The sequence below is a fragment of the Homo sapiens genome, chromosome 7, assembly GCF_000001405.40.
Source record: "Homo sapiens chromosome 7, GRCh38.p14 Primary Assembly".
Classification (NCBI taxonomy): domain Eukaryota; kingdom Metazoa; phylum Chordata; class Mammalia; order Primates; family Hominidae; genus Homo; species Homo sapiens.
This window is the reverse complement of record NC_000007.14, coordinates 47,494,395-47,517,395: the sequence shown is the minus strand read 5'-3', so window position 1 is coordinate 47,517,395 and position 23,001 is coordinate 47,494,395. Positions and strand designations below refer to the sequence as shown.

Genomic DNA, 23,001 nt, shown 5'->3' with positions numbered 1-23,001 from the left:
TGTGGGTGGCTTTCGGGGGTAAAGATTGGTAATGACACCTTTCCTCTAGGTTTCTTTTGTCAAGCGTGGGGCTGCAGGACGCTGTGGCTGGTAGCCCTGGTAAGATGAGTGTGATTTGAAGCGGGGCTTGTGGAGACCATCCAGGAAAACAGCACAGCAGGGTTTCTATTGCAAGGTTGGGCGTTCTTGTCTTCAGTCAACATTGGCCAGCCTCCAGTAGGACCATAGAATTGGCACACCCCATGACACTGTGAAGGAAAAAGAGCCTGTGTAAGTACACCAGGCTGAATTGGGATACAACACATGAGCTAGATTTTTGTTTGTTTGTTTTTGAGACGGAGTTTTGCTCTTGTTGCCCAGGCTGGAGTGCAGTGCTGTGGTCTTGGCTCACTGCAACCTCCGCCTCCTGGGTTCAAGTGATTCTCCTGCCTCAGCTTCCCGAGTAGCTGGGATTACAGGCGCCCACCACCACGCCTGGCTAATTTTTGTAGTTTTAGTAGAGTTGGGGTTTCACCATGTTGGCCAGGCTGGTCTCGAACTCCTGACCTCAGATGATCCACCCACCTCGGCCTCCCAAAGTGCTGGGATTATAGCCGTGAGCCACTGCTCCTGACCCACAAGAGCTAGATTTTTATTTGTGTGTGTTTGTGTATCTTCACAGGAAATCATTTTAGCCATTGCTCTTGTCAGCGTAGTAGGAGGAGGACGGACCTGGCCCATCTCCTTACGTGCTGCCGCATGTGTAGATGGGGCATTAGCAGGGTAGGGGGTGCTGCTTACTGAGTTGGAGCTGGGAGCCGGGCACAGTCACTGTGGGTGTAGAACGGGGTAGAGGCAGGATGTGGGGATGCTGCAGCTCATTGAGTTGAGATGGGGTCCTGATAGTCACTGCAGGTGTAGACAAGGCAGAGGCAGGATGGGAGGATGCTGCTCACTGAGTTGAGATGGGGTCCTGGCAGTCACTGCAAGTTTAGATGGGACAGAGGCAGGATGTGAGGACTCTGCTCACTGAGTTGAGATGGGGTCCTGGCAGTCACTGCAAGTGTAGATGGGAGCCTGGCAGAGTCAGGGATGGGCTGCTCCACAGGAAGCTGTGGCCCTGGACAGTTGCACCCTATTTCTGTTCCTCAGTGCCGTGATCTTTACAATTTGTACATTAGAGTAGTTAATCTCTAGGATTTTCTCTTTCTCAATAGACTATATAGAGACCACTCCCCAAATAGACAATTTCATAGTGTTCTCTACTAATAATTCACATATGTCATATACATTTGCATTTTGATCCCTTTGTGTACATGCTACCTGGAAACAACAAGGTATTCCCTTTACATAGATTATGTAAGTCATCATGCATCACAGTGATGTGACGTTTTGGTAGAGGTGTTCTTTCTTTGGCTTATTTCTGGGGAAGCAGCAGAGCGTGGTGGAGGTGAGGTGGATGGTGGAGACAGCCTGCCAGCATTCCTGCTCTGCCTCTTTCTGCTTAGAGTCATTGTGAGGAATAGCAGGGTAAATACACATGAAACACAAAGAACACTGAGGAGCTCCAGAAAGTGTTCAATGGTGTCAGTAATGACGATGGTGATAATGATATTGTTAGTGATGGTGATGAGGGTGGCAATGGTATGCCGATAATGATGTTGTAATTGATGGTGATGATGGTAACGATGATGGTGATGGTGGGTGGTGGCGTGATTGATGATGATGGTATATTAGTGATGATGGTGTTGATGGGGATGGTGATGATGATGGTATGATGTTGGTGAAGATGGTGATGGTCAAGATGATCATGATGGTGATGGTGAGTGGTGATGGTGTAATTGATGGAGATGATGATGGTGATGGTGTGGTTGATGGTGACCATGGCACTGGTGATTATGTTGACATGATGATGGTGATGGTGACGATGTTGATGAATGGTGACAATGATGGTGATGATGATGTTGATGACAGCAATGATAGTGCTGTGACTGGTGATGGTGATAGTGATAGTGTAGTTGATGGTGATAGTAACAATGGCAATGGTAACGATTGTGATGATGATGCTGATCGTGATGATACTGATGGTGATGATAGATGGAGAAGGGTTAGGGGCATATTCTGTGATGCAGGCCAGTATTTCTACCGTTCCTTTTCTGGCTCATTCTTGGACTTTCAGGTCCCTGACTTTCACATTTTAACCTCCTAGTTAAATGCAAATTTCATATGTGGTTAAGTAGAAAGAAAACATTTCATCTTTTAAAAACTGTTATGTTAACATGTAAGGGCCCTGTTATCTCTACTCTTGGAACTTTAAGTAAGGGAAAGAAAAGATAGAAATGACATTGAGCAATGGGGTTAAGTGTCCAGTTGTGGTTTTTCTTACACTCCTCAAAACCTTGCTGGTGTGCTCATACCATCAGTTAGGACTCTGAGGCAACCCGTTCTCACTACATGTCACTGAGTTCCCTTGGGTGGCCTAACATGGTCCAGTTGCCATTGATATCCCAAAATGGTTGTATTTCACAGAGGACAGAGGAAGGTGCTGTTATGGGTGAGTCTCGGCATTCTGGAATTGAGTAGATTCGGCCCCAAAAGTTACAAGTTTTGTGGGACTTGGTCCCTGGAAGAAGGTAGATCCAGGGAGGATCCAGGGTCAGACCACGCATAAATGCTCCCCATTTGAGAGATGGTTTTCTGGGATCTAATAGTGGAATCAGCGAGACTATCATGGAATGAGACAGGATGGCACAGAATAAAGAAGTGCTGCAACAAGAGAGACAGCTGTAGGGAAGGCCTAAAGGAGATGAGAGTTGAGAAAGGAAGCAAGGAGAAAGGAGAAAAGAAGCAAGGAGAAAGCTGAGAAAGGAGACCAGAGGGAAAGTGGGATGAAGGGAGTTTTGTAAGAAAGATTTGGTAATGGGTTGTTCCACGCAGTTAACCCAACATTATTAAGCACCTGCTAGGAGAGAAAGATGAGAGTTTTGTGTCCTGTCTTTGAGTCCATCGGAGTCAGCAATACACTAAGTGATTACAGATAAAGGTTTGGAGATAGACGGGCAGGTCGGTAGGTGTGTGTTTTTTGCTTTGGGCCAGGTGCAGTATTAGGACTTCAGGAGAACATGGTAGTTATTTAAAACTAACAAGGCAACAATGGGGTCATGGGGTTGAGCAGTGAATGTGGGCATTGGGCAGGCCTTGTCTGGCGGTCCCCCGCTGTGGGTTAATCAGTCCCCTCCTGCCTTGTGGAGCCTGTTACTGGGACACAGAGAGGCTGGCAAACTTGACAGTTGATGCTAGGAGAAGCAGAGGGTGACTCACAGGCTTGTTTATAACTTGGTCAATATGTTTCGAGTGTTGTATAAAAGATTCTGACAACCCTGTAAGACAGTGGCCTGGATTCCCAAGGCTCGTGGAGACGTTGTGAAGAATAGCAGTTCCAAGACAACATATAAAAATGTTGGGCGTTTGCAAGCCAGACAGCTCTGGGCTGTAACTGCTGCAGCGGGAGCCAGGATTCTTAAACATGAGTCTGGAAACCTCGTCTGACAAGGGAACTGATGTGTGGTTTGCAGACTGTCAGCTGTGGAGCCGAGTGTTCAGGCAAAGCCACGAGAAGGGGCCTGCCACACACCAGCTCAGACGCCGGAGGGTAAGCTGGGCTGGAGAAGGTTCAGGCTCCTCACAGGAAAACGCTTTTGGTGGAGCCTACTTGCATGGAATGTCACTGACCCTCTCACTTGAGATTTTTCAGCTTTTCAGTTTTTGCAAGTTGATGGATGAAAAGTGATGTCTCCTTTTTATTATGTTTTTCATTCATCTGGTGATTACATGAGGTTGAACATCTAAAAAGATACAAAAAAGCTGCCTGCAGCATTTCTGTTTACTTAGCAAAGTAGCCTTTCAAATCCTTTGTTCATTGCTTATTTAAAAATTAGATTATTTTAGGGCGTGGTGAGGTGGCTTATGCTTGTAATCCCAGCATTTTGGGACGCCGAGGCGGGAGAATCGATCGAAACCGGGAGTTCAAGACCAGCCTGGGCAACAAAACAAGACCCCATTTCTACAAAAAATTTAAAAATTGGCCTGCACAGTGGCACGCGCCAATGGTCCCAGCTACCCTAGAGGCTGAGGCAGGAGGATTGCTTCAGCCTGTAAATTTGAGGCTGCAGTGAGCTATGATCATGCCACTGCACTCCAGCCTGGGTGACAGTGAGACCTCATCTCTAAAAAGAAAAAAATAAATAACATTTTGAAAATTAATAAATTTAAAAATCATTTTTTTAAATTTCTGAGACTTCACTATATTATGAATACTAAATCTTATCTGTGATATTAGGCAGAACTTTTGCCAATTTCTAATGACATTTGTCCTCAGAAAAGGTCAGTTTCTTATCTTTCCACTTTGTACATTGCAAACATTCCAGTCAGTTGCTTGTCTAAGTTTGTTTGTGGCCTGTTTGTCACGCAAAAGTTGTAATGTTTGGTTTGTTCAGATCTACTCATCTTTTCATTTAGTTCATACTCTTGTTCCTTGTTGTAGAATGTCTGCCCTTTTCCAAAGTCACAAAGATGTTCTCTGATATTTTATTCTAATAATTCATTTCAGCTTTTCCAATTCCGAATCAGTTCTATGATTGATGCATCTGAAATTCATGGTATTTCTGTTATTATTATGATGATGTTTTTCATGGAGTAACCAGTTTTCCCAGTTTTGTTGTCTGGCTCCTCCTTTCTGTCTGAGTTGTGAGGTCTCTCTCCAGTGTCATTTTCTCTCCTATAGATGAGGCCACCGCGCATGTCTGTCGGTCACAAAGTTTATTTCATACAACACAGAGTGCTGTATATCTGTTAGCCTTGCCTTTTGTAAGAACTCTCACATGTGAAATAGTTTGAGATCATAATTTTTCAATAGCTACCTAATATTTTGTTTGTATATATATGTAATTTTATCTTTTTATTGCTTAGGTAAACTATTCTTTTCATGGCAGAGAGGAATCTTGGCTATCACCCTGTTCTACTCCTAATTACAGAAGGGGAAATGTGTGCCAGAGGGGACATGACTGGCACGGATCCTTGGAGAGGGGCTGGAGTGAGCATGTGAGTTCAGACTCCTGAGGTCCCTGGACACCTGCTCCTGGTCCTGGTGTGTAGCTCATGGTAGATGTTTGCTTTAGTGGGCTCATGCATGTGGAGCCCCAGTTCTTGCACCAGGCACAGAAGAGCCTTTGCACACCAGCTCACTGGGTGTTCCAGTCCAGCTCTGGGAGGTGGGCTCTGCCCATCTAGAGCTGGGCTGGCAGCTGGTGTCACTGCTTAACCTGCTCTGTCGCCCAGGGCAGGCAGCTTCCGCTCTGTGCTGCAGTTTGCTGTTCGTGCAACGGAGTGAGAATGTGACTTTCTCCCTGGTCCCCATGGGAACAGGTGGAACAAGGCGTCTAAAGTACATGGAGCTTCGTGGAAGGCACCGTGGCAGCCAATAACGGGGCTGCATGGAAGGAGCCTCTCCCAGCCAGCAGGGCATGTGTCTTCTGCAGGGGGAGGTGCAGCGGCCGGCAGGCTCCGGGCAGTGTGCCTGGGCCCCGGTTCTGCAACCCAAGTTCTCCAGGTTCTTCTTGTGGGTCCAGCTCCGTGCTCAGAGGGGGAGGTTCCAGAAGCTGAGGCATTTTCCCTTGCTTCGTTTACAGGAGTGGGAAGGCCTTCGCCAGAAGCCCCTGGGAGAATTCACTTACCTTTCTGTTGGTCAAAGTTGGGTCCTTACCCCATTCTGAGAGCCTCAGGCAAGGAGAATGAACGGGGTTGCCCTCGCGCTGCGGGTCTCGGGCACCCACTGCTAGGGTCCTAGAAGACCCTAAAGGGCTCTTGTCAGTGTGGTTTGTATTCATCACGATTTACCCTATTAGAAATGGGAAACTGATGAGTATTTAAAATATTTAAGTCAGTTAAAAGCAATGGTAATGAACCAATTACATGTTAAAATGAACATAAGCTTAATAAAAAATAACTATGTTTCAAAACAACAAAATGAGAGGAGGTGCATTTTTTTTTGTGATTCTGTTATGCAGCCTTAATCAAGAGGCTGGTTACCCTTGCATGCAGTCTTCTGCAATGTTTGGTTTGAAGCGTCAAAGACAATCTAGCCCCATAAACATATCTACTTGGAAAAGGAGGCATTTTAATAGGCTTTTCCGGCCATTGTAGCTATTTCATTTTGATTCTACACCAGAACTCAAGTGACAGTTGCTTAAAGTTCAGTTTCACTGTGGAATCTGAAATTGTGTCAGTAGAGTTTTTCCTACGCTGTTTTATTAAAATCCACTGGCCTGTCTTGCACACCAAGTGCATCTTTTACCCGGTGTGGAACACCACGCACTGGACATTTGGAAATTATTGGTCCACTGACAATTTCGCAGAACTTCTAAATGTTGACATATTTGTTATACAATCTCAGGAAAATCCCCACATTTGTTAATAATATTGTTGATTTTAACAGAAATGTCCTAGGAGTTGTTAGGCCCTGGTGATGGGTACAAGTCTTTTTTTTTTTTTTTTTTTTAAAGACAGTCTTACTCTGTCACCCAGGGCACGATCTCGGCTCACTGCAACCTCTGCCTCCTGGGTTCAGGAGATTCTTGTGCCTCAGCCTCCCAAGTAGCTGGGATTACAGACATGCATCATCATGCCCAGCTAATTTCTTGTATTTTTAGTAGAGATGGGGTTTCACTATGTTGGCCAGGCTAGTCTCAAACTCCTGACCTCAAGTGATCTGCCCGCCTCAGCCTCCCAAAGTGTTGAGATTACAGGCGTGAGCCACCGCACCTGGCCTGGGTACTAGTCTTTTAAAATTCTAATTTTCACTTGAAATCTCAAATTTTGACATTGGTTTATGATGACAGACTCACTTCATTTTTGAGAAAATGACAAGCACTCGAGTCTGAATAACTGCATTTTGTCTGCTAGGAGTTCTTTCAAATAAAAATGACATCCCCTGAGAAGGTGGCTAGTTTAGCTGCCAGCTCACACAACTGCTATTCCAAAAAGGAGGCGGGTCTGCCTGGCTGAGGGTCAAAGTGAACACATACGTTTTGTCTTCTGGGCCTGTGTGCTTCAGAGATGGATTTTGGTGCGAAGTTCTTCTTCTGTTTTGCAGCCTCCCTTCTGGCCAGCACCTTCACAGCCCCGAATCCCTAAGTGGTGATCAGGTAATGAGGTCTCCATAGCTTGTGGGCCTGCTGGCTATGGGCTTCTGAAAGCAGACCTGGAACAGGTCAAGATTGGGACACAGTTGTCCAGCACGTGAATCCTCAGTCTCATCCACAAACCCCAGTCTCACATTAGTAAAACAGGCGAAGATAGGTAGCTTCTTTCCAGGGTGTGGTGGAAATTTGGCAATACGCATGCAGTTCAAACTTTTAGGTGCTGAGTGTATTAGCTGCCTGTTACTCGTGTTAGTGCTGCTATTGTGAGACCCTGGTCATGCACAACAGAGACGCTGTCCCTTGAGGAGCTTGCAGCCCATCGGGAGAGATGGACACAGGGAGATCATCATGATATGACAAGCCATGATGACCTGCCATGATGGTTCAGTGGCACAGAAGGGTGTCAACTCAGGAACGGAGGCAGCTGAGCCGGGCCCAGGAGGTGGGTGCAGGATGGCGTGAATGAGGAGGTGAGGTTGGTATGGGCAGGGTTAGGGCAGGCAGGGGTAGGGCAGGCAGGGGGCTGTCTCCTGTGGGCGGCAGGATAGGAAGCTGGGCCTGGGCACTGTTTGATTCATATTTTGTAATATGTCAGAAAGGCAGGGAGAGTATGGCTGGATGCAAACACTGAATTTGATGCACAGACGGGCTGGAGTCCCACCTTCATGGACCATGGCTGCCCCCTTGGCTGAGTCACCCTTACAGTTCCTCCCCGAGAGGTGCTTACGAGGAGCAAGTGCAGTAACATACGGGAAAGTATCTTGTACACTGCCTGGTGCGGTGCTGACCAGAGCTGGGCCACGGATAGATTGACGGTGGACTTGCTACTCTGAGGATTATCCATGCTGCTGACAATCGAGTGTGAAGTCCTAGTCCAAACATTTGTAAAACTTTGAGGGTCACTTGTCTACATACCAGAAACAATGGCCCTGCCTCTCAGGATTGTAGTCTTGGCTCATGGGCAGTTTATATGATTTCACTATGATAATTGAATTTAATGATTTTGCCCTACAGTGCCGATGGCTGTCTGGTGGCCGAGTAGGCCACCCACCATGAATGTATCATACCACTGCCACCCTTGCACTGACCAGGGCCATTTTTTTGTGTTGAGTTGGCGTGTTGCATGACAAATGATCCCCAAAGTTAGTACCTTAACATAGCAGTAAGCATCTGTTATCTCCCACTGTGTCAGTGATCAGGAATTTGGGACACAGGTGACTGGGCAGTTCTGGCTCAGGGTCTCTGGAGAGGCTGCACCATCTGAAGGCTTGGTTGGGGTTGGAGACCAGCTTCCGAGGTGGCACACTTCTGTGGCTGGGAAGCTGGGGCCAGCTGTTTGTGGGAAGCCTCAGTTCCTCTCCATGGGGGCCTCTCCACAGGGCTGCTTGAGTGTCCTCACAACATGGCATCTGGCTGTCCTCAGAATGAGTGATCCTGGAGACCAGGACAGAAGTCACGATGTCTTTTAGCCACAAAAGTCACACACCATCTCCTCTGCCAGGTTGCACTGTCACACAGCCCAGCTGATTCACTGTGGGAGGGGGCTATACACCAGCATGGGGGCCAAGAGACGAGGTCACCCAGGCCATCTGGAAGGCTAACCGCTGCATGATGTCGTGGTCCTGTGACATGCTGCTAGACGTGTGTGGGCAGAATTCTTTGCCTGACTCTCACTCAGCCAGAGGCCAGAGGCCTGCCCACCGCCCTTCTCCTTATCTCAGTCCTTTGTGCTGGCCTCTGCTGGGGATGGTTTCTGTCTGGACTTTTAATCTTGTGTGGAAGCCCCTTGTTTCCCAATGGCAAGTCTCTCTTGATTTGAAAATCACTGATCACCTTTGTGTGTTTTGCCCATCAGAAGGTGTAGGATAAATACATGTCTTTGTGAATAATCTTACAAACCTCAAGGTATAGAATGACAATTCAGCAATTCAAAAATATAGATCATACAAAGATAACAACCTAGCTGTAACTACTGGAGTTCTAATAATTGCCAGGCAGTGGGCAAGTGACCTTATCTGTTTCATCCTCATTCAACCCTACACAAACCTTTTTGACTTTGACACATCATAGAAAACAGAGTGCAGGAGGGGGAGTGAGACATTGATTAAATTCACGGGGTGTTGACACGCAGAGCTGGGATGTGGGGCCCCTCTCCCTGACTTCTGAGGCCTTGGTCTTCAGGTCCCACACACTTCTGCATGTGGACATTGCTTTCTAGTTTCAAAGCAGGGTCCCTTGAAGGATTCCATTTGACCCATGATAGCTCCGTGGGAGGAAGCAGAGACCCAGCTTGAGGGGCAGAGCCTGGATAGGAGGCTTTGGTCACTGTTCCCCAACCCAGGTCTCTTTCCCTCCTCCCACAGCTGTCCCTGTGGGCTGGCAAACGTGGGGGAAGGGAGGGCATGTACCCGACGTTCCCTTGGAGCTGGCACAGGAGGCTGTGTTGGGATTATTAGGTGTTGTTGCTTCATTTCTCTCTCCCTGTCCTGCAAGGCCTGCCTGCAGCATGCCCGTGGTGCTCGTGGGGAGGTTTATGCCTCATGATCACAGCTGCAGCCTCTGGGCAGAAGGGCCTGTGAAATCCGCATTGGTTCCAGCTCTGCATTGCATTGTTAGGGCCTCCGAAGGGACACAGGACTCGCTCCGTTCACACAATGGCCCCTCTGGAAGGATTCTCCTATAGGAATTTAGACATGAATTTATTCTGACAGTCAGTTCTCAGGTTGGCCGGAAGTGGAAGCACTTCCGAAATCCAGATGCACGACTTTCTCACAAATTTAAAGGCTCCCATCCGGTCTTTCATGGACACTTTAAATTCTGATTCTTAAGGGGCATCTTCCAGTTTCTCTTCTTTTTTCAGGGATCAGCTATAATTTCTGGGCACACACGAATGCATTCTGCTGCTGAAATTCACTATTCTTCTTTAGGGATCCAGTTCGGCTGGACGTACATACCCCTTGAAAAACCAATCTGCTCATGACCCCTTGAAAAACCAATCTGCTCATGACCGTGCTCCCAAGACATTCCTACCTGAGCCACCTGAGCTGTTGCTAACAGACAACAGTTGTAACTCTGCTCTTGCACACCATGTCCTCACTGCCTTCTGTCCACACTGCCGTGTGTCATATGTAAAAATCTCTCTCGTGCCAGAGAGAGGCCACCTATGGGATCTTCAAGCCAGAGACTCTGAAGGATTGAGAGGGTTTGAAGATGTAAGAATTCTTGCTAGAGAGACTGCTTGACACACATTCTTTCTCTTTTTTTTTTTCCCAGCCTGCAAGTATTCCTGCCACAAGAAATGTGAAGCCAAGGTAAGCATTCCGTTGCTTTCCCATGGGACTTTTTATAGCTGACTTGGCCTTCATTGAATGATATGTGTGGGGGGGCCTCTTTGGACTGCAGCCACGGAAAGAAAACTCTTTAGGAAAGCCAGGGCTGGGGTACGGTGTATACTTTTCATCTCAAGGATAAACCAAAGAGCTTTGAAATCCACGGTTTTGATTATGGAAAATAATTCTTAAGAATTTGATTTCAGATAAGAATTCAATAGTTGTCCCCTGGCCACATCAACAGCTCCTTCTCAGTGGCACATGGTCCCTGGTTTCTCACTGCCTTGTCATACTGCCTCTCGGTGGAGAGAGGGCAGGAGCAGGGAGGTCCAGGGCATTCCCCTGGCCTGGAGACTTTTCTGCCTCATTTTGGAGATAGTTGTGCATAGACGGATTGGGGTTTTCAGCTGCCACGGAAACCTGGGAACCCTGGAGTAAGGTTTAGTGATGTTCACTGAGGTTTGTGAGTCTCTAGAGAGGTTCAATTGCCCGATGGCCTCTATGACCAAAGGAGGCCTGGCTATGTCCTGTTGGGCTTAGGGTTTTGGTGAGTGGGGAAGTGAGGTGGCCTGGAAGTGCCGTGTGGGAAGTGACAGACACCCCAAGGAAGAAGCACATGGTTTTCTACGTTGTCTTGGTGCTCGCACCTTCAGATCTCCTGGGGATGGTGGCTGTACTTACGGAATCCCCAAGTATGATTTGGGTCTGCAGTCGGGGTGTCAGCAGTGTTTTGCCCCATCTACTGTTTGGCCCTGCCTATGGGGGCTCTGTAGGTGCCCTGACAGGTTGTCCCCATGGCTGTAGGTCCAGGGAAGAGGAGTTTTAGAGTCTTGGGATTTTGCTACTGTTACAGACCTCATGGGTCAGCTGTTTTGATCATTTCCAGCCCTGCCTTCGGCTCCGAGTGGAAGGCTATGCTGGAAGCTGACTTCATGTTACCATGAACTCACTGCATGTGGGTCTGTTTTCCATGTGAGGACTAGGGCGGCTGGTTTCCCCGACCCTCCCGATCTCAGGCATACACAAACACACACATGAGTAAATACACACATGTGCATGCACATAAATACACATGCATGCACATAAATACACATGCACACAAACACATTTGTGCTCACACGCATACATGCATATGTGTGCACAGAAATACACACACACACACACACACACAAAGTTGGAAGAACTAGACTAGTATAGCTCTATTTCTTTTCTCCCAAGAGACTTTTTAAAGTCTTCATTATGGAGAATGCCGAGCACGTGCAGGAGCAGAGAGGATGGCACAGGGCCTTGCTGCCCCCTTCCTGAACCCCAGACCAGCAGCCCCTGTGACCTGGCCACACCTCCTTGCTGGCTGCCTCCTTCAGATGTCATGTGGGGTGCACTTCTCGGGCCTCCTGGGGGCTGTGTGGAGCGCTTCTCCTCTTGCTTTCCACCCTGCTCTGGAGAGGGCTTCCCCTTTTCCAGAGGAGTGGGCATTTCTTGTTCACACACTCCTAGGCGTAGCTGATTTCTGACCGTGGTTTATTTGAGGTTTTTTGTCCACAGATAGGCTCCTTTCCTGGGGTGCTGTGCACCTTCAGTGGTGTGGGAGCAGTGCTTCTGAATGCAGTGGTGAGTGGGAAGATTGTACCTTTGGGGGAGCATTTCAGACTTGGAGAGCTTCCCCCTCCCCTAGGAGGACTGGGATGTGTTGTCCCTCACCCCTGTTGTATGGTGCCTTTGTCCGCATTGCTTGCACCTTGGGTCGGCTGCGGAGTAGGAGGAGGGGGTGGGCTGCTTGTCCTGACTCTGTTGTGGGCCCAGCCACCTCTGAGCCACAGCCGCAGAGATGAGCCTGCTGTTGTTCCTTCCATTTCTTAAATGAAGCCTGTCGCCGGCTGCTTAAGGGATTGAATTCTTTGGTTCAAAGTGTATTCCAAAATCCTTAACTATCACTGAATATGGAATTTCTAACGGCAGCAATTGGCAGTTTGCTGAGGGATGGATAAGCTCTTATTCCTATCAGATCACAGTGTGGGGAAATATATCCGTGTTCATTTTTTTTATAATACAGCTTTGAACCACAGGGGAGAAAGCCCCTGGCAATAACAAAGCACCTTCTCATTCCAAAAATATAATGCCGTCGTTGTTGGGGATATGAGGGCCATAACTCCCCAGCTGCTCCTGCAGGGTATGTGGCTAAGGGAGCCGCTCGGTCTTCCAGGAACTGAATATGGCTGTGGCTTCTCCCACATTATTGCACTCGGCTTTTGAGTCCTTCATTACTGTGTTTACATATATTGCCCAGTGGGCTCCTTAGACGCTGCACTCAGATTGCTCAGGCAAGTATGAAGCCTTGGTTCAGCTCATAGGCTTTGGTCTGGCATCAGACCCAAGACTGGGTGGTAGCGTGTGCTGTGTTAAACCCCCTCGATGGTGTTCCCCTCTGTGTGGGAGCACTTGCGCCTGTGTCTACAGGCTCCACACATGCCCTGGAGCATGTGGCTGGTGTGTGGTGGTGCTGTTGATCTGCTGCTGTCAGTGACATTGTCACAGGCTCCTCCCATCCAGGCCCTCAGAGCCCCTTCTGTGGCACTGACAATGTGGAGAAACCATCCTGCAGAAATGGGGACCGAGACAGCAGCTGGGGACCTGCCTCAGGCAGGGAGGCAGAGCCATCGTTGGGACATTTTGAGAAGCGCCAAAAGACTGCTATCACTCTCTTCTTGAGCCATTGGACAGTATGTCCTCTCAGGCCAGGCCATGCAGCTCAGTGGATGGATGGAGGCAGAGACCTGGACTTGGATCCCAGTGGGGCTTTTTGTCTCCTGAAGCCTTTCTAGTCCCCCTTGCTATGGTCTTGATGTTTGTGTCTCCCCCAGATTCCTGTGTTGAAACCTGACCCCCAAGGTGATGGTAGCTGGAAATGGAGGCCTTTGGGGAGATGATTAGGTCGCGAGGGTGGAGTGTCTATAAATGAGATTAGTGCCTTTATAAAAGGGACCCCAGAGAGATCCCTTACCTCTTCTGCCATGAGCATACATGGCAAGAAGGCACCCTCTATGAACCCTGAAAAGGGCCCACACCAGACACTGAATCTGCTGGTGCCTTGATCTTGTACTTCCCAACCCTAGAACCTTGGGAAGTATATTTCTGTTGTTTATAAGCCTCCCAATATTTTGTTATAGCAGCCCACATGGACTTAGATAGGCCCTGAGCCTCACTTTCTTCCTGCATAAAAAAAGTGAATAATAGGTTTCTGTAATAAACAGAAAAATAACTTTCTCTTAGCTGTTGGTTATGTTAATACTTAAGTTTCAGGGAAGTCACATAATGTATGTACAATCACTTGAAAGTTTGGGATTTCAACTGTTTTGCTTCCTGGAATGCAGTGCTTATTCATGTGAGCCACATGAGCTGTGTGGGCATCATGACTTGCTTTTTTCCTGGCTGTCACTTGACTTACTGGCAAGAGTGAAAAAAGAAGTAGGAGAAATGAAGCAGTTGTAGGAAAGCAGATGTTGGGGAGGGGAGAAGGGGGAGGAAAGGGTGGCAGGTGGTGCCCCCCTGAAGGAAATGAAGGGGAGCTTAGGCAAGCAGATGGAGGCATGGGAATCCTATCCTTGAAACCTGCAGCCTGGCATCATGGTGAGATGCCTCTTCCGCCTCTGCCCACTTGCAGACACATTTGCTCCTTAGAGTTGCACTTTGTGTAGGGTATTGAGTATCATCTTGAATCATCAGAGGTGAAATGGACCTGCAGATAATTTTTTTGTAAACTTAAGACCCCACGTAGGGACCATACGCAGGAGTTAGTGAGGGGAACATGCGCAGGAGTAATGTTGGGGAGATGCCCTGCACAGGGTCCCGATGCGCAGCTCCCCCTTTAATCCAGGAAAAACACAGAACCTCCTACCACCTGGGCTCCAATGCTCTCAGACCCCCTGGCTCATCCTCAGCCTTTGCAGCCTGGCTGCGAAGGTCCAGCTTGCTGTTTCTCTCTCTGCATGTGCCTCGGTTTGCACCCTTCTTGGATATAAAATACAGGAGTGCTGGTGTTGCCTCCTTGCTGAGTCTGTAGAAGGAGAGTGCAGCAAGAGGAGAGAGGTCCCAGGCTCTGTCCAGCCTCTTGGCTCCTGCAGGTGGCCTCAGCATCTTCTTCCACTGTCCCGGTGCTACGTCTGGGCACTTGCCAAGCCAGGAGCCTTTCCCCGCTCTCCAGCTGGCTGCTTGAGGGAGAGAGAACTTTGTGATAGGCTTGCTGCTCTTTTTAAGCTGAGACTACAGGAGGTCCTGGGGAAGTCAGCGGAACCCCCTGCTGCCCTCATCGCCTGCTGCCCTGGGGGCCTTTGCTGGGCTCTCCCATCAGGGATCCCCATGTCCTGGCTGCGGCTGATGCAGGAGCTTTTTCACTTCCACCAGACAGGCCCAGGGCAAAGACTTGGTCCTCTGCCATGGAAAACACGGGACCTAGAGTTTATGGCTTCTTCAGAAACTGTCCCTAGACATTCATCCTGGGCGTCAACAGACGCTCAGTGGCCTAACTGATAAGTTTCAACCATTAACTTCTGTCTGGCAGTTAACTTTCATCTTCAGATCACTCCTTTTCTCTGCATGCTAAGAGCCGCAGCTGCCGTGCAGTGGGATACGGGCCTGCTGGGTCCCAGGGATTGACCTCTCCAGCCCCCTCTCCCCATTGTCTGATGAAAAACCTCGAGACCCCAGGGAGGTGAAACAACTTACCTATTGTCACCTAGCTTCTGGGCCCAGAATTCATGGGCGTTGCATTTCAAAGTTCTGATTTTTGCTGTTCCATGTGTTCTTTTTGGTGCTTTGCCATCTTCATGTATCAGAAATGGAGCTGAGGTTTGTGTGGGTGACTTTAGCCCACCTTGCTCGTATGCCTACAGAACCTACTATGCCTCTTGTGAACTCCAGCTCCAGGGCCAACTTCTCTAAAACACGAGTTGAGCGTCTCTCCCGCTTGGCTTGGGGCTCACTCCTCTTGGGCTGCATCTCTATTTCTCTCTCATGAAATGATGCCTGAGAATTCTCTGACTCCCGCATGGCTCAGGCCTCTTCTTCCCCATGAAGGCTCTGCTCATACATCCGTGGCATCTTGTCCGAGACTCCCAGTCCTCCCACGAGACAGTGAGCAGGGGCAGTATCTCTCCCCAATTCCCATAGCTCTTTGCAACCCTGCAGGGGCCTCGGCTGTCGCAGCTGTGCGTTTCTGTTTTGGACCTTCTCACCCGTGCACAAGGAGGGAGGCTGTGGGAGCTGCTGCTTTGCTGACCCTGAGCTCTCGGTTACTGCATTCTTTGAGCCTGTCTCATCTTCCATGTCCAGACCTTACCCTGTCTAGGGCCCCAGAGCCTCCACTCTCCAGCATCCCACCAGCCAGCTCCGCTCTGCTCAGGGCAGGGGCCTGTCTTTCCTGCCAGCACACAGGCCACGGAGGCTGCAGACTCTCGTCCCCACCTTCAGCAGGGTTGGTGCTCCCTGGGCTGTTGGTGGAGGATGGAATCTGGTGAAGCTCATTGCCACAGCTTTTAAGGTTGGGGTGTCAGCTTTGACCTCCCCAAAAGGTGTAAGTAGTGGCCTTTCTTCATATGGTCTTCACTAGGAATGAATGATCTGAATTTGCTAGTAACAAGGCCTAATAAATTCTTTCTTTCTCTCTTCCTTTCTCCCTCCCTCCCTCCCTCCCTCCCTCCCTCCCTTCCTTCCTTCCTCTCTTCCTCCCTTTCTTTCCTTCCTCCCTTCCTCTCTTCCTCCCTTTCTCCTCTTCTCCCTTTCTCCCTTTCTCTCTTTCTCTCTTTCTGTTTGTCTTTCTTCCCTCCGTCACCCGGGCTGGAATGCAGTGGTGCGATCTTTCACAGCAACGTCCACCTCTTGGGTTCAAGGGATTCTTCTGCCTCAGCCTCCCAAGTAGCTGGGGTTATAGGCGTGTGCCAACACGCCTGGCTATTTTTTTTTAATTTTTATTTTTAGTAGAGACGGGGTTTCACCATATTGGCCAGGCTGGTCTCAAACTCCTAACCTCAAGTGATCCACCCACCTTGGCCTCCCAGAGTGCTGGGATTCTAGTGTGAGCCATTGAGCCCAGCCAGGACCAATACGTTTTTCATAACCAAAAGGAAAATCCCTGGCCCTGCGTGTAAAAGCTCTTTTGTTGTTTGTGAGTTCATCTCTTTCCTGCCCCTATTTGTACCCTTTACAATAGCTTCAGGAAGATGGTTACTCCCTCTGAACTCAGCTTCTTCATTTGAGCATAGGATTTTTAGGGATGTCATGAGATACATCTCTCCATGTCCAGCCTGTGCAGAAGGAATGCCACTCAGTCAGCGCTGTTGAGGGATCTGCAGGACCCTGCCGAGTGCTTTAGATATGCTCTGTCATTTACTCGTCACACTTCTGTCTGAGGAGGCTTGTTCTGCTCCCTCTTACAGGTGACAGGGCTGGGACCGAGCAGTTGCATCTCTTGCTAAAGCCTGCGATGGTCCTGCCCCAGCTCACGCGGCCAGCACGGGCTCTGCCTCTCTCTGCCGTCTCAGTAAATGTTTACACGGGCATCCCTTCTCCTCCCTCCCCACTTCTTGCTCTAAGGGCGGAGGCAGTTAATTTTTAAGCCAGCCAGTTCAGCAGACATTTCCTGAGGGTAGCTCTCGGCCGTGCACAGAGCTGGACCCAGATGCAGCGTGCTGTCCACAGGGAGCTTCTGTCTGCAGCCCCACAGGACGAAATGAGAGTCTGATTCTGCCAGATGATTGCAGGTCTCCACCTATGTTTGCCAAGTGTGTGTGTGTGTGCGTGTGTGTGTGTGTTTTAATGTTTGACAGCTTTTAAAATGGTTTTTAAAATTAGAAGATGTTATTTTTAGAGCAGTTTCAGATTTGCCGCAAAATCGAGGGGAAAGAACCGAGGGCTCACACACACGTGCTTACATGTACACACGCATGCATATTCACGCACAGAGACACACACTCTCCTGCCGTCAGCATCGCCGCACCAGAACAGCACATTTGTTAGAATTGATGAGCCAGTATTGATGAGTCCACAGTCTACGTTAGGGCTCACTCTGGGTGTTGTACATTCCATGGGTTTGGACAGGTGCATGATAAGTGACATCCACCATGACAGTACCGTATGGAGTAGTTTCGCTGCCCTAGAAATCCTCTGTGCCGCGCTTCTCTCTCCTGCACCCCGGCAGCCGCTGACCTTTTCACTGTCTTCATAGTGTTGCCTTTTCCAGAATGCCATAGGGTTGGAATCATACATGTGTAGCCTTTTCAGATGGGCTTCCTTCACTTGATAATATGCATTTAAATTTCTTCCCTGTCATTTCTTGGCTTGATAGCTCATTTCTTTTCAGCTGAATAACACTCTGTCATCTGGATGTGCCACAGTTTACCCTCCATTCACCTACTCAAGGTGGGTACTGATTGGTGGCTTCCATGTCTTTCTTTTTTGCTAGTTGTCACTACTGTCAGAAGAACCATGAAGCATCCTTAAATTCTGCTCTTTTTGAGGACACTTTTATTCCTTTTCCTGTAAGATCCCTTTTCTGGTAGGCTGTCCTCACCAATCATTTTTGACTCATTTTAATTAGAAAGTCACTTTACACATTAACACCTTACTAGAGGCATGTTTATACCTGTGTCTCTTTTTCTACTGGGAACTATTACTCCTGACTCCCAGAGTCTGGGAAGTGGCCCCACTGTGTGAATCCCATCAGCCAAGGCCACCATGTGGGCTCTAGGCTCACTCTCAAAGTCAGCAAGCCACATTTGGCTTTTCATGTCAGCACAATTATACTTTGTACAAAAGAATTAAGGTTTCTAAATCCCTAGTAATCTGAGCCTCAATCAGAGGCATTCATTGTGGACTTCTAGGCCTTTCTTGGACTCGAAGGTGGCCAGCAGGACCAAGCCACTGTCAACTGAGGAAGTGCGTCAGCTGGGCGACACCAGCTGCCAGCAGCTCGGGGCCTTGCCCTGTGGGGCTCTGCTCCTTGCACCGTCTCGGCATCTGCGGGGCTTTATGGTGACCCTGCTGGCATTCCACAGGCTGGGAAGTCACTGAGTTCGCCACTTTACACCAGAGGAAACAGGTCTTTGAAACTGGTGGTGACCTTTGGCCGGGCTGACGGGACCATGTTGGCTGTCTGGTTATGAGTGAAGTTCTCGCCCTGTGATGGCAGGTTTGTTTTTTAGTGCGGCATAAGTGTAAGCTATATTTGTGTAGGAAGTCCTAGCCCTGCCCCAAAAAGAGGCCAAAAGAGAATTATGATCTTTTGAAACAAGATATTTGTTTTAAATAAATAATATAATTTTAAAATGTATCCTGTGTTTTCTCTGAATCATCAGTTTTCATTCCACATTGTGTTGTAACAGATGAAACAACACATACCTGGAATGAATCTGCACCTATTTGCCACATCATTTTAACTACGTGGCCAGTAACCTAATTAGCAGCTCTGCAGCCAGCATCTGTATCTGTGTCCTGGGCAGGAGGCTAGAAGGTGCAGCCGGAGGGAGAATGTGGGTCCCTGCATCCTGCACGTGGCTCAGGCCAGGCCTGTCTGCCTTGACTCTCGGCATCTGTGAAATGAGGGTAACTTTCCATGGCACTGTGGTTACATGGGAGGGTAGGAGGCTGTTGGCAAGGGCACCCCGTGCCTGCAAGTGTGTTTTATTGATTAAACTAGGGCTTTCGAGGTGCCCTGGAAATCTTCTTCTGAACCCCACCTCTGTGTCTTTTGACCAGTTCTAACCTGAGAAAGAAGCTCTCCCTGCAGAACCTCCATTACTTGAGAAATAATTTGGACAAGCGTGCTGTTGGTTAAGGTTCACTCCCCACCTCCACCCTGCGGGATGTTGTTGGGTGTCTGTTTACCAGGGGTGTCACGGAGGAGAGAAGGGGCCAGCTGACCTCATGCAGCCAGGCTCTGATGACAGAGTGGGACACCCAGAGAAGATGAGGCCCCTGAATTCAAAACAGATGCCACTTTCATGGTGACAGTAATGAATGTTTGAGTGACTGCCCTGACTGGGTCAGATAGACCAGGGTGGGGAGCCCGGTCCTGGAGGGAGCCCCATATAGCTCGAGGGGCAGGGGACAGAGCAGCAAGGCCAGGCATCCATGGGCACACGTCGCTCCAGTGTAAACAAAAACAAAAGAAAAGAGCACGCGGTGAACATTTCCTGCTCTGTGTGTGTGTGTGTGTGTGTGTGTGTGTGTGTGTTCCATACGTGAAACTCTGTACTAGGCGAATACTTATTTTCTCTTGCCTGGCCTCTTTGGGAGAACAGAAGTACAAAATGGAAATTTGCATGTGTAGCTCTCAGAAGCAGCTTCTGAAACTTTGAGGACTCATAAAAGAGAAGAATGAATAACAGACCTGGGTCTGGATCCTGACTCTGCTTTGTCTTACCCATGTGACCTTGGGCTTCAGTTTCTTCCTCTATAAAACAGGAATTAACCCCTACTAAGAGGACTGCGGAGAACTGAATTCAACAGCTCCCCAAGCACAGGGCCTGGTGGCTTCTGCAGGAGTGCTCTTTTCCCCTTTTAATACCTTAATCTGCATCATTGTATTAGGAATCACTGTAGATGTCTACAGTGTCAGTTGCTGGAAACTACTCTTTCTGCAGTTGTGGTACTGACGCTAGTAGATTTATTTCATGAAATGTTGCCTACCGCTAGCATAAATCACTATGCATTTTATTTATTAACTGTTAAATGACAAGAAAGTATATATATTTTCTAAATTTTCTTCTGAGAATGGGGTCTGCTCTTTTAAGCAAACAAATTCCATTTAGTGGGCTTAATTAGTGCCTCAGACTTAGCCTGAGGCCCACCTGAAAGTGGTTCCATATGGCTAATGGCAGAGCCGTGGGCTTAATATTTTCTGACACTGGAATCCAAGTGCCTCTTGCTCGATGCTGCCTTGGTTCTGGCCAGCTCTGTGACCTTTCCCCTGACTGGCTGCCCTTCTTTCTACTCCCCCCAGCCTCCTGCATTTGCACAGGCTCACCCTGCCTTGGCTCACCCCACAGAGGACTTCCGTAGTCCTGGCCCACATCGCTGCAGCCAGGGTATCTGGGCCTAGGGCAGAGCTGGGTGCTGCAGGTGTCCCTGCCTGCTTGGTCTTGGACTTCTGATGTGATTTCCCACAAGCCCCTGACGAGCAGGTACAGATGCATCCCCAGCCCTCCGCCTCTCTCACCTGTGCCTGGCGTTCTGTACTGCGTGTGCGTGGACTCTCCCACTCAGACTCTGTTTGCGTTGGCCACCATCGCTTTTACTCCCGCTTCTCTTGAAACACGTTCTGGCCGGTGGTGTGCAGATGAGGGTTTATACCCTGCTGGGGGTGCAGCGGGCTGATTGGCAGCCTCTGCTGATTCCCCTGGTGAAAATACCTCACCTCCCCCCGCCTGCTTCCAAGCTACCAGCCTGACATTAATCAGCTTGAAACACTCCTGAAAATGCCATTTGGCTCCAGCACCTCCTGCCCATCAGCTCTGGTCACAGGGGAAACGTCCCTCCTTCCACACATGTGGCCCCAGGTGCTCTTTCTGCTGACTCTGGCTGCCATCTGCAGGAGCCCTTGGCCCCTTTCTAGAAGACCCCAAACTCTGTATTCCCCTGTGTGAGCTCACATCCTGTTCAGTGATGTCCTTTTTTGACGTGCTTATCTTACTACCCCTTTTTTCAGACCACCATTCAGTTTTTGAACTGCTCAGAGTCTATAATGTATGCTTCCTCCCATTATCCTGTCACCCCTCCTCCAGGCTCACTGGGGTCCTCTCCTCTCCTCAATCCAGGGCCTCTTCACCTCTGGGCTTCTGGGCTGGGTGGCATCGGGGCCTCTCCCCAGCCCTGTGGCACCGTGTGCTCCTTCTGGATCACAGCTCTTCCTCTCTGACCCTGCCTCTGGCTCTGTCCAGGTTAGAAATCCACTTGTCATAATGTGTGTGGTTTCGTCCACTGCTCTCCTGAGTGGTCTGTCCTTACCCCTTCCCTCTGCCGAGATGGAGGAGGAAGGTGTGCTGCAGTTGGGGAGCTGCAGAACGGCCTGTTCTCTTTCAATGTTTAGACACCATATGCAGTGCATCTTTTTAAAATTTCTACTACAGTCATTCTTCCACATGGATGCCACCCACCCTGGCATCTAGCAATGTCATCTCTGCAGAAGCTTATCTCCGGGACTTTCTGGCAGTCCTGGGCCCTGGCTCTGGCTGGGAGACTGCATTCTGGCTCTGAGTGTAGGTTCCCAGTGGGATCTTGTTCCTGAGACCTCTCTATGGCCCGTTCAGACTCAGGTCTTCCAGAGCCTGAGTTCAGGCTGGGAGAGGTGTTGGAAGCCCGCCCCTGTTGGGACATAACCATCCCTGTCAGGCTAGGAGAGACCTCTGCAGGCCTCGTCCTCAGGGCGGGGGTCGTGGCCCTGTGCCCACCATACTTCCAGATACCCCACTCTGTCTCGTGCAGCCCCTGCCCCAGACGCTGCCCTCTCATGTTGTCAGCGTGTGTGTCCATGAGTCTCAGCCCCCTAGACCACAGGACAGGCACTTAGTTGATGTGCGGCACTGAAGCCTGTGCTCTCTGGCGACTGCACCAGTGTTGCTGTGCATGCGCCTTCATGCCTCTCATTGAGACATGGCTTCACGTTCCATGGGGAGAAGAACGTTTCTTTTTTTTTTTTTTTTTTTTTGAGACGGAGTCTGGCTCTGTCGCCCAGGCTGGGGTGCAGTGGCGCAATCTCGGCTCACTGCAAGCTCCGCCTCCCGGGTTCACGCTATTCTCCTGCCTCAGCCTCCCGAGTAGCTGGGACTACAGGCGCCGGGGAGAAGAACGTTTCTAATCAAACCGCTGGCTTTATTTTTGTGGGGCTACTTCTGAAGGGTAGGTTTCCTAGTGAAGCCCCCATTTCTTCTTTTTTTCAGCCACATTTTTATCAGCGGGGCCAAAACCCATAACGAAGCATTCAAATCCCCACCTCCAGATTTTGAATTGTAAAATAAAACTTGTTTCACCATGGGTTTCCCCTTCCCCCCTTTTGTAAAGCAGTTAATTTTAGGCAGGGATTCAGGAAGTGCCTACTCCCATTTTCTGTCAAGCACAGAAATAGCTCGCGGGGCGCCCTCTCTCCGCCTCCCGGGAGCAGCTGGCGGAGTTCATTTTTGTGTGTTTCTAGGCATTTCAACTCCTGCCTTTCTGCGCACTGTGTGTGTGTCTGTGCACCCTCAACTCCAAATTACCCTGGAACTTTCCGAAGCCCGCAGGCTTCCTTTCTGTTCTTAATAAAGCGGTGTGCAAGGATCTGAGCTGTTAACCCTCCCTTATCACTGGAAACTGCCCCCTGTTCAGAAGGTCTTTAGAATAACAAACTCACAACTGTGTCTTTCAGGGGAGGTGGAGTGGATAGAATGGCTGAATGGTTGCAATACTGTGATGTGAGAAATTCTGCTTTCAGAATCTTTATCTAAAACCTTTCGCTTTTTCAGAGG

General features: G+C 49.1%; 1 protein-coding gene across 20 annotated transcripts in view, besides 5 other annotated features; it reads left to right on the top strand.

Moving 5' to 3' along the window:
- Nucleotides 1–23,001, top strand: part of TNS3 (tensin 3) — a 307,433-nt gene that overhangs the window by 65,191 nt on the left and 219,241 nt on the right. For 17 of the 20 annotated variants that reach the window (XM_047420733.1, XM_047420729.1, NM_001410878.1 and 14 more), the window contains one exon: nt 10,452–10,489. Coding sequence is in view for 10 of the 20 variants with exons in the window: in XM_047420729.1 (XP_047276685.1) it covers nt 10,452–10,489 (38 nt within the window). In the remaining 10 variants the exon portion in view is untranslated. Of the gene's footprint in view, nt 1–3,368; nt 3,632–10,451; nt 10,490–17,164; nt 17,263–23,001 lie in introns of those variants that run through there. The other 3 variants (XM_047420736.1, XM_024446876.2, XM_047420737.1) reach the window with 2 other exon arrangements.
- Nucleotides 12,525–13,025: an enhancer, noted in NCBI's record as "H3K4me1 hESC enhancer chr7:47543969-47544469 (GRCh37/hg19 assembly coordinates)". NCBI's record gives its function as "activates a minimal SCP1, AML or CMV promoter by ChIP-STARR-seq in primed H9 embryonic stem cells {active_cell/tissue: H9 hESC(primed)}" and the evidence as "EXISTENCE:reporter gene assay evidence [ECO:0000049][PMID:30033119]".
- Nucleotides 14,064–14,660: an enhancer, noted in NCBI's record as "H3K27ac-H3K4me1 hESC enhancer chr7:47542334-47542930 (GRCh37/hg19 assembly coordinates)". NCBI's record gives its function as "activates a minimal SCP1, AML or CMV promoter by ChIP-STARR-seq in primed H9 embryonic stem cells {active_cell/tissue: H9 hESC(primed)}" and the evidence as "EXISTENCE:reporter gene assay evidence [ECO:0000049][PMID:30033119]".
- Nucleotides 14,661–15,258: an enhancer, noted in NCBI's record as "H3K27ac-H3K4me1 hESC enhancer chr7:47541736-47542333 (GRCh37/hg19 assembly coordinates)". NCBI's record gives its function as "activates a minimal SCP1, AML or CMV promoter by ChIP-STARR-seq in primed H9 embryonic stem cells {active_cell/tissue: H9 hESC(primed)}" and the evidence as "EXISTENCE:reporter gene assay evidence [ECO:0000049][PMID:30033119]".
- Nucleotides 19,650–19,729: an enhancer, noted in NCBI's record as "active region_25979". NCBI's record gives its function as "activates an Ori minimal core promoter by ATAC-STARR-seq in GM12878 lymphoblastoid cells {active_cell/tissue: GM12878}" and the evidence as "EXISTENCE:reporter gene assay evidence [ECO:0000049][PMID:35858748]".
- Nucleotides 20,030–20,149: an enhancer, noted in NCBI's record as "active region_25978". NCBI's record gives its function as "activates an Ori minimal core promoter by ATAC-STARR-seq in GM12878 lymphoblastoid cells {active_cell/tissue: GM12878}" and the evidence as "EXISTENCE:reporter gene assay evidence [ECO:0000049][PMID:35858748]".